Here is a 10,845-nt window from a genome sequence, read left to right as displayed (position 1 = left end):
CTAGTTTACAAATGTGTTAATTGATCTAGATAAATAAATGCATTTTAAAGGTCATTTTCATTATAAATACTAGAGTGTGGATATAGTCAGGAGTTTTATGTACATAAACCCATTTTCAATGGTTATTCTGCTACGTATTACTGTTTTAAAATGGAGAGGGCATATCTAAACACTAGACATTCAGTGGTAAATATGATAGACAGTGTTCATATTGGCATGGAACCTACATATTAGAAGAAAAATTTAGAAATAATTAATAATATTTAAAAAGACAATTCCAGATAGAGAAGACAGGTACAAAATAATAAATAAAAAATTAAAAAAAAACCTGTAGTGTGAAAATGATTGGAGTGAGATAAGTTATGATAGTCAAGAGAGACTCTATTTGAAGAGGTGATTTTTGACTGGACTGAGTTCTAAACAGTGGTTATGAAGAAGGAACTGACTTAGCTGGTTTGAGGAATCCAAAGAAAACCAGTACACTGAGTGCATGAGAACAAAGATCCCAGGGTTCGATGTCAAATATGTAGACAGTAGAAACAATAATGTAGGGCATAAAAGCTATGATAAAGAAATTAAATTTTATTCAACGTGCATTGAGAAACTAGTAAAATGTTCTAAGCAAGGCAATTATGTGTCTTGATTTATGGTTAAAAAAGAATCCTTTATGATTGTGGGTAGAATGGAATTTCACTAGGGGTGGAATAAGAAGCAAGGAGATGAACTCTTGCATTAAAGAGAAAAGGTAACTTTTATTAGGGTGATAGCAACTGACATGAAAACAAACTGAAGTAGAAAGACTAAAATGGACTTTGAAGATAGAATTGACATGATACAGTGATTTACTGAGAAAAGCAGAAGTGATTTACTTGAGAAAAATGGAAGAATCAAGGCTATGGATAAGATTTTTGTCTTATTTAATTCAAGTGATGCCAGTATTTTTTTACTGAGGTGGGGCAAACTGGATAAAGAACATTTTTAAGTTCAGTGTGAGAATGACAATATTATTTTACATGGGTAAGTTTGATGTTATATGAACTGCAGGTAGTAAATAGATGCAAATAGACTCAAAATAGAGTTCTGGTCAAGGTTTAAATATTGATGATTCATTTATACACACACACACACACACACACACACACACACATACATGCATATGTGGCATGTAATGATGGAATGGCATTGGATAGTTTGTGATTGCCTAGGGATAACATTGAATGGATAAGAAAGTCCAAGATAGTACAATCTCTGGAGCACCGCAATATTTAGAAGTCAGAGTAGAGGAGGTTGATTCAAAAAAGGTAACTTTAAAGGAGCAGCTGGTAACACCAGCAGAGTGTTACATTACAAAAGCTTTCTTATTTTAACAAAGAGGGAGAGAAGATAGCAAAGGAAAAGATATGATTAAATTTCTTTATTTATATTTTTACTATTTTGTAGCTTTTGCCTGCAAATTATTTTGGGTTAAATGAATCATCTCTACAATACTACTATACTAGCTGCAAATGCAAAGGCAATTCTGCATAGTTTTGGTAATTTACTCATTCGTTCATTGGGACAGTATTTATTAAACCATGCATTGATTCTTCATTCAATACAGGTAATGTGGTCACTTATTTTAATAATCCCACAGCTAAATAGGAAACTAACTCACTTTTACAATAAAATGTAGTAAACACAATAATAGAAATATGTAAGGACAATTAATTCAATCTAAACTGTAGACAAACTTCCAGAAGAAATTAACTGAGTAAAGGAAATAGTGGAAAGCATTCATTTCAGTGAAAAATATTATGATTAAATGAAAAACGATTAAAGGCACAGCAGTTTATTCTTGCAAGGTAGTGTGTAGTATGAAGTCAAAAGCTAAAATTGCTGGGGTTAGTATAAAGGGGTTGTCATGGCAGAGAGCTTGGGTTTTATCTTAACAGTCAATTAAGAGACATCAAAATTTTGGGCATAAGAATGAATTGCTTGTGATTGCAAGACGTATAGAACGGAGGTTGTCTGACTGAAGGCAGAAGCACATAGTAAGCATTATTTCCAGAAACTCTGGAAATAGAAGATAAGGTCTCAAATCAAGATAACAATAAATGATATATGGACAAGGCAAATAAATTAGAGAACTAGTTGGAGCATAACATTTTTCAGAAATATCTTATTACATGCAAAGACAGTAAAAGATGTGACATTAATGATGTCTGCATTCTTAGCTTGGGTGACTGAATGATGCTATTGCTATTGTTAGGGAAATTTGAAGACACTGGTAATAGTAATGTCTACTGCATGGTCACAAGATGGTAAGGAAAACATAACCAATCATAATTTTAAAATTACTTTATTCAGTTAAATGAATTATTCATTTAAATTAATAATCACAGACACACACACAACTTGTTTCATATGAAATCTACTAGAAATTGATGCCATTATGTGTCTCACTTGGTTTACAAATAGGTTAGAATGATTTTAGCAAAATAGAAAGGCTTGTGGGGCAAATTCTCTCAGTTCATTACTTAACAGTACTACCTATCAGCCTTTTCTAGGTTGGCAAAGCACGTCTCCAAAATCAGAACCTAAAATTTCCAGCTACTCACTCTCTAATTATCTCTTTCTTCAAAGTTAGTCATGAGATTTTGGGCAATGAAAAGTAATGATCCTCTGAGTTGGGTAAGGGAGACTACTGGTAAAGATTTTCCTCTCAGATAAAAACAGACACCTAAGAACTCTCTCAACAGTTTGCTATACCCTTCTTTTACTCCTTTGTACATTATTATATAAGGACATTATTTTCTAGCTTTTGTAGCCCCTTACAGTTCATGAGTAAAGATATGAACACTATTATATAGGTGGCAAAACAAAAAGAAGAGAACTCTGTCCTTGAGAGTATCATTGAGCCTCTAATCTAATCCCTTAAATGCTTCCTGCAGACTTGTAGGCTTCCTGCAGACATAGGCTAACTCAAGGTCATCCTTGGTTAAGCCATTGCAAATCAGGCATTCTTTCAACTTTTTGCTGAAAGTATTCTAGTTGATACAGCAAGTAAACATAACACCAAGGAGCCTTAACTCAGTGTAGTATAAATAAAAAAAAATTAATGATTTCTAAATGTTACATTCAACCCTAATGTGTTGAATCTCTGTTTAATATCCTTTAGAAGTATCTAAGGCAGATTGATAGTTCTGCTGTCACTTAGAGTAGTTACAAAGTTCAGTTGAGTTCAGCATAAAACTTCCATTTTCTATTTACTTTACACCTACTCATCTCATTCTACCCTCATCTCCCTCATCCACCAGTCCAAATACAGTTCAGACTTTGAGAAGTACTAGTGATGGGGAGTTCGGTGAAATAGACTGATCTTTCACTCTTTTTCTCTTTCCAACAGTTTGGAGGTGGGGCCTGGAAGAGGAACTTTATTAAATGAGCAAAGATATTTTTCCTTAGCTGGGTTTGTAAATGTGACCCTGCATTCATTTATGCTACCATCTCTCTGTTAATAACCTTTAGGGAGGAAGAATGTTTTTTTCAGGGTGCCTTAGGGGGTTTCACTCCACTGCAAGGAAGGCAGCTTTGCCAACAGCAATTTTTGGGTGTGTAAAATAAAAATATATGTGGACTTAGATAAACAGAGTTTAATCAGAAAGACCATTACAATAGGGAGAACCATTTGAACTCAGGGGAAGGGGAAGTATCTCAAAATCAAACAGAAAAATACTTTCTTTATAGGAAAGCATAAGCAATAAATAAGTAGTCAGGCAAAGGAGGGGAAATGATGAGTGGCATCTGACAGGAAAAGTCTCCAGCTGTCATCAGTCAGTTCTCAGGACAGCTGATAAGGTGATATGTTCTGCTTTTTAGTGCATGTTCAAGTTTGGGGCAAGCGGAGTTAGGAATTCTGTAGGGACAGAGAAGCCTGATTCTAAAGTTTGGTTAAGAGAAACCAGAGGGTAGGAAATGAGTGACTTTGAGCATTTGGTCAGGTGAGATTGTGGTGAGGCACATGGAACTAGTGGTTTGGTTAGCTCTCTACCACTTTATGACCTTTGTCTGAAGTAATTATAAATAGTCCATTTTACTCATAACATTGACTCATTTAGGACAACATATTACATATTTATCCGAGATTTAGCAAGGTTGCTCATGCCTGGCTACCAACTACTCTGCCTACTTGATTCAAAGGAAACATACAATCTTGCCAAAGCAGATTCTGGAAATAAACTCAGACTCACTGAAGCCCTTGAACTCCAACCTGCCATTTCCGCTCAAATCGTCCTTTCCCTGATCTAACACGAACATGGCTGGACAGTAATTTTGCTTCATAAGTAGGCACACATGTAACTCAAGAACAGCAAAATTATACACCCTTATCATCAATTCCTCCAATTTTTTTTGTGTGTGTGTTTGTGTGTCTTTGAGAGTTTTTTGTTTGTTTGCTTATTTGGCACCCTACTCGTTTGAAGAACTCCAAATGTTCTCCTCTCCTTCTTTCTCTAGAATTCTATGCATACAATGGTAGAAGGATGTATGAAGATGGAGAGAGCATTTCTGGATAACAGAGTTGGCCTAACTGCTTCTTATCCATTCAGGAGGTCTGGCTGTCAATTTCTTTAACCTCTTTTTGATATATATAACAAATGCTAGTTTTCTACCCATGTTAATAGAAAAATACGATTCAAAATTATGTGGAAATATAATTGTTAGAGAATGAATTTTTCAAATTATTTTAGTACTATTTTTGAGAATATATAATGAATTGAAGTTTTAAAATATAATTAGTAACAATGGAAAATCAGCATTAAATATATTCAATTAATTCTTATGCTAATTATTTAAATTAGAACATTGTTCTGCAAAAGGATGGGCTTAGTATTAAAAGAAAAAAAGAAAATTAAGCCAATGAAAATAATCATTTTTTATGTATGTGATTGTGTGTGTGTGTGTGTGTGAGAAAGAGAAAGTGTGTTTGTACTTACGGAAAATCAGTTCATCATAATGATTGAGCTATGCATGTATTCAAGTATCATCATTTTTACTGCAGGCTTAAAAAGAAATATTAATTTACTTACTAGTACTAATTTAATCACAATATAATGTTCGATTGCTAAAACACAATCAACGTTTGCAACCCATTACTGCAATTGCTTTAAAAAATGAATAAGCAATTGACATAATGTTATAATGGATGTTAATTGTAACTGTCTGACCATACGTTATTTTCCTGACAGGCTTGAACAACAAACCAAACCCTCAAATAGGCAGGATAAGTTAAGAAGAAAGCAAAGCAAATAGTATCTTCAAGGGATGTCCATTTGTCAGCCATTAGCAGGAGATAACCAGCTGCTAAATAAACCCAAATGCCTCCTTATATTCTTCAGGAACCCACTGGGGAAGGACTGCAACAAACTATTCAAGAAGCAAAGAGCAGACTCGGCACCAGCAACTGAATGAGGCAACCTATCAGGTAACTATGAACATCCTGAGTGGTATAAATTTACAAAAGGTTTCTAAATTTATGATGGTGAATAGAAAAGATCCCAGTGGCCAAATCCAATCCAATTAGGATAAAAACACTTTTCCTCCTTAACTGCCAGCTTTTGTATGAAAATTGCTTCTTCTAGAACTCAGTCAATTAAAAAATGTCTGCTAGCTGAGTTTGCCCAGCAGGAGGCTAAAGGGCCTATTATGCTGACAGATGCTCCCTGCTTTAAGTTGGTACAGAATTTAGATGACTTTTATTTTCTGCTTACACCCATTTAAACTGAATTAATATGAAAAAGTAAAATCAAAATTTTGCCATTAAAAACTTTTACCTTTCTAGCAATATATTAAATGATTGCAGATGTCACTGGTAATCTATATTTGTGGTAAGATGTGAAGTTATATTTTTAAAGTTTTATATTTATAAATTGTAAGAAAAAATGTTAATAGTTAATGTGTTACAAATTTGTATTTTGCACAGTTATGACAAATATATCACTTTTGCATTATTGGTATGACGAGCAGATGAAGTGGATGCACAGGTATAATTACATTCAGCTAATCTGTGAGGAAAAATAATTTTACTTACTTAGTTCATTAATTCTTGTTTAGACATTGAGTGGTGGACTCAGGACTATTTTCCCAGATGATTTTTCTACTAGTTCAGAGTTCATTAAATGAAGTTCTGCAGTCATTCCATAAATTCAAGTGAAATGATAATATTTCCTAAATAAACTATAACGTGCATGTATATATTGGAGTTCTCATTGTTATCAAGGATTGAATTCACATATAAATTCATTTTTCTTACAATTTTTTTTTATGTATTTATTTTGAGACAGAATCTTGCTTTGTTGCCAGGCTGGAATACAGTACTGTGATCTCTGCTCACTACAGCCTCAACATCCTTGGCTCAAGCAATCCTCCTGCCTCAGACTCCTAAGTAGCTGGGGCCACAGGTGTGAGCACCACACCCAGCTAATTTTCTGATTTTTTGTAGAGATGAGGTGTCGCTATGTTGCCCAGTCTGGTTCAAACTCCTGGGCTCAAACAGTCCTCACCTTGGCCTTCCAAAGTGCTGAGATAACAGGCATGAGCTGCCACCCCGGCCTTATTTATTAACTGAAAGTCTATTTCTTGAATTATGTATTGATCAATCTAATTATCTATTTAGAGCTTTCAAGCAGCATAACTGGCTGAATTAGACAAAACAATGATGTAATATATTAGTTTCACTGTGTCTATTTAGTCTATTAAAATTTAAAAGAGTGGAAGGCTGGGTGCAGTGGCTCATGCTGTAATCTTAACTTTGGGAGACTGAGGCAGGAGAATTGCTTGAGAACAAGAGTTCAAGAACCAGCCTGGGCAAAAAGCAAGACACTGTGTCTAAAAAAAAAGTTACAAACTATAAAAAATAAAAATAAAATTAAAGAGTACAATTGTAATAAATTAGTATTTGGTGTCCTCTTATGGAAAATTTTCATAACAATATCAAAATCATCTTCATAATACCATCAAAATAATCTATTCATCCTGTCATAATGCTTGTCAAAAATTCTATAGATTTGTAGACAACAATTTGTTTTATGTTAGATACATGTTCTCACTCAGAAGTAGTGACGGTGTCACAGGAAACCTCTGGTTGGCAGTGGCTCTGTTTGAGTTTTGCTCTTGCCTGGTGGGCTTGTTCTACCCACTCAACCAGGCAGGCTGTGCTCAGCTCACGCTATTGCCCAGCTCCCACACCTGCCGAGGTTGAGCCAGGCACTCATCAGCGAGTGATGTGTAAGCGAGCAAGTCAGCATGGGGTCTGGCCACTACACATAGCCAGGCACACAGGCTGCTGTGTGGCGGGGTGGGCAGCTCCAGGTGCCAGCACAGGCTCTGGTTCCATGTAAGACTGTGCTGGATCAGAGGTAACACAAGCGGCTTCCGCTGCCAGCACCAGCGTCTGGACGAGGGGTGTCCAAAAACACGAAGATGCCAGTAACTGCAGACTCCCAAAGTGGGTGTTAGAGTGTGTCACAGCCCTAGATTGGGGAGTCCCGGGGTCTGGGCTCTTCTCTCCCTCTCATCGCCAGCAGTGTGGTGAGCAGCGGTAGGTGGGAGTGTTCCGTGGAGATGTGTTTTAGTCTGTTTGTGTTACAACTCTCAGTCCTGCCACCCTGCTACGGCCTGTGGCTCGTGGGCTGGCCTGACCCTATCAGTGCTTCTTGTCTTGTGGGGCAGCCACCCAATGCTGACGGAGGGCAGGAGGGCTGTAATGTTCACAGCTCTGGCTCAGGGAATCCTGAGGTCTGGGCCCTCAGAAGGGTCACCAGGCTTCACTTCCACAGTCTGAGAGCATGTCACTGTCTGCAGATAGGAGAGCCCACCAGGAGCGTTACAGCCTCTTTAGCTCCCATTTGCAGCTTGAGAAGCCAGCTAGGAAAGTGTTTCAGTGATGTACCAGTCAGGAAGCTGTTTTGGCTCCTTTCCAGCCTGCCATTCAGCAGACCCTGAGTTTTTGTCCTGCGTCCAGGAAGAATAAGTTACACGGACATTGAAGGGTGAGCAGGTCAGAGAAGAGCTTTATTGGGCAACTGAACAGCTCTCAGTGGAGAGGAGACCCAAAACAGGTAGCTCCTATTTACAGGCAGGTAGTCCCAAGGAGTGTCTGAGTCTGGCTCAGTCTGGGGGGTTTTATGGGCTCAGAATGGAGTCAGTGTGTGCTGATTGATCCACGGGCAGGAGGAACTGCATGCTGATTGGTCCTTGGATGGGCCTAGAAAAAGCATCACTTGACTGGCTGAAAGGCGTCAAAGAAGTTCTCACTCTGGGTCATGACTTCACCCAAACTGGCAGTCTCCCACCCAGGCTTCAGGCCATCCCTGGTTTGAAGGTGGGGTTTCACCAGGGACCTGCCCCTTCCTGCCTAGGAACCTGTCTGCCTCCAGCTGCCGTCAACATGCCTTCCACGGCATCCACGATGTCTGCACCAAGAGGCAGCCACAGGCCTCTGTGCACCAAGGGACAGACACAGGCTTGTGCCCGCCCTCCCTCAGCCCCCTGGCCTCCCTCCCGTGGTCCTTCATCCCCAAAGTTTCCTCCTCAGAAACAGTTTCCAGAGGGGCCTGAGGCAACAGGGGGCTGGCATGTCAGCGTGGCCCAAAGCATGCACACACTCAGTCAGGTCATGACAGCACCTGGGCTCAGCTACTGGGGCACATCCACACTTTTGCTCCACCAGGCCGGGTGCTGGGAGCCAGGAGAAGCCAGGGAACAGGAGCACACACTTCCAAGCCTGTGGGGGCAGGGTGCTCCTCAGCCCCCTGAGAACAAAGGGATGACCAGGTCTGAAGCTGTTGCAGGGTGGCTGTAGCTGCACCCAGAAGCGCAGCCTCCCACACACCAACTCAGTGGGGCATTGAGCTCCTACTGGGATCACCTGTTTCCAGCCCTCACCTGCTCCCTTGACTGCACAGCCCCAGCTGCGCCTCCCCCACAGCAGCTGCCGTCCCCACAGCGGCCAAACTGGATAGGCCACTGCTGCCACCACAAATTGTTTAATTTTTATGATTTAAACAATAAGTGGTAAACTTGAGGTTTGTGGATTGTGTTAGGGAATTTTCTTTTTATCTACATCAACAAGAACGTCACTAAAACCCCCACAACATCTACAAGTGTGAAACAACCTGGACAATAAAAACTGAAAAAAGATGATAAAAATTGATCAGTGGAAGTCTGCTGTTATCTTTGCAAAACAATTATACAATATATGATTTTTGAGTGGGTAAAATTCATATTTTTATTGCAAGAAAAAAGACGTAATTTCAAATAAACATTTGGTTACAAAGTCAGAAATATTTCACAATTACGATGTCAAGTTTTATTTATGTTATTTAACAATATTTCTCGTTAACAAAACGCTAACATTTCAATATCCACTTTTGTTATCACCATTGAAAATTGGTATTTAAATAACACTCAGGAATTATATCATATTTATATCACATTTAAATATAATTTTTTCCCTACTGACCTTCTAAGAGCAGAAAATAACAGAAACACACACAAAGGAAATATTTGTCATTGAATAATTTCAACCTCTTGAAAGAAAATAATCCACCCTACTAGTTTTTAAATTAGAGTTTCTGACAAAATTCTCTACTGCAATAAAATGTTTCAAGCCACCATATTATCCATTAGTTTATCAATATAATAAATTATCTATTGATAAATATAATGTGACATGTAAATACCAGCTAGTTTCTTTAGCATAAAAAATTTAAAATATGAGAAATAATCTATTGCTTTTTTATTCTGGAAAATTCTTTTATTTGGTGATCGTCCCATGTTGCAAATGTAGGATTGATTCTATGGGCTTCTGATAGGTGATTTAGAATCCCTTTACATTTTCTAGGATAAGAGTAAATTTTGGTACTTGTCCACCTTACACTAGCATCTCATTACTGTAGCTGTCACATGGATATAACATTGAAATTAAACACAATAGTGGCATACCTGATGCTGACAGCTGTGCATATCTGTGCAGCATTCATCATGACATCTGCACAATTGCTACCTCATCTGGTCCTCAATTAATGTAATCAGGAAGGTGTACAATTCCCAATGCACAAATCACTGAGAAGTCTAAGTTTTACCTGTCTTTTCGTTGCCTAAACTTAATTATTTGCTCTTCACATATTCAATATATTTGCATAAATTACCATATTATACACCTCTGTAGTTGCTTTCCTGTCATCTCTCCTAAGGGGGTGAATATAAATGTCTTCTTACTAAAATTGGCCTTGTTTGAAAAATTATATTTTTAATCTAGAATAAATTGATTTCAGCATCCAGTGGTATCCTATACATTATATGTATTTAATACAAATTTCAGCAACAGGTATCACATGACAAATAAATAAATGGTTACTACAAAGATGTATTCGGTAAGCTTTCTATTTATTTATCCAGATTTTCACTGTCTTCTAGTTTCAGTTATCTCTTCACATTGCACTTGATCTTAAGTCAGGAAGAGTGTTTTATATTTAATATTCTGAAATATCTGGTAATAATTATAAGGCTCATCTAATTCACCTCACTTTTAGAGACAAAAATGCTGGAAACAATCTGTTTAAATCTTTGAAAAACATCTCTCAAATAAATTAATTTAATTTCAGAATAATTTAATTTTTAATCTCACAATTATGAGATTAGCATTATAATAATTTCATGTCTTATTTATGATATCAATGTATTTTATCTGAGGCAATACTACATGTGTAAAAGTTGAGCTGCCCAATGCAGATTAATAAATCAAGACTAAAATATAATTGACTTATATCATATGAACATTTTATTGTAATTGTTTTTTTTCAAGTG

Source organism: Homo sapiens, chromosome 2 (genome assembly GCF_000001405.40).
Source record: "Homo sapiens chromosome 2, GRCh38.p14 Primary Assembly".
Lineage (NCBI taxonomy): Eukaryota > Metazoa > Chordata > Mammalia > Primates > Hominidae > Homo > Homo sapiens.
Note: the sequence above shows the minus strand (reverse complement) of the source record.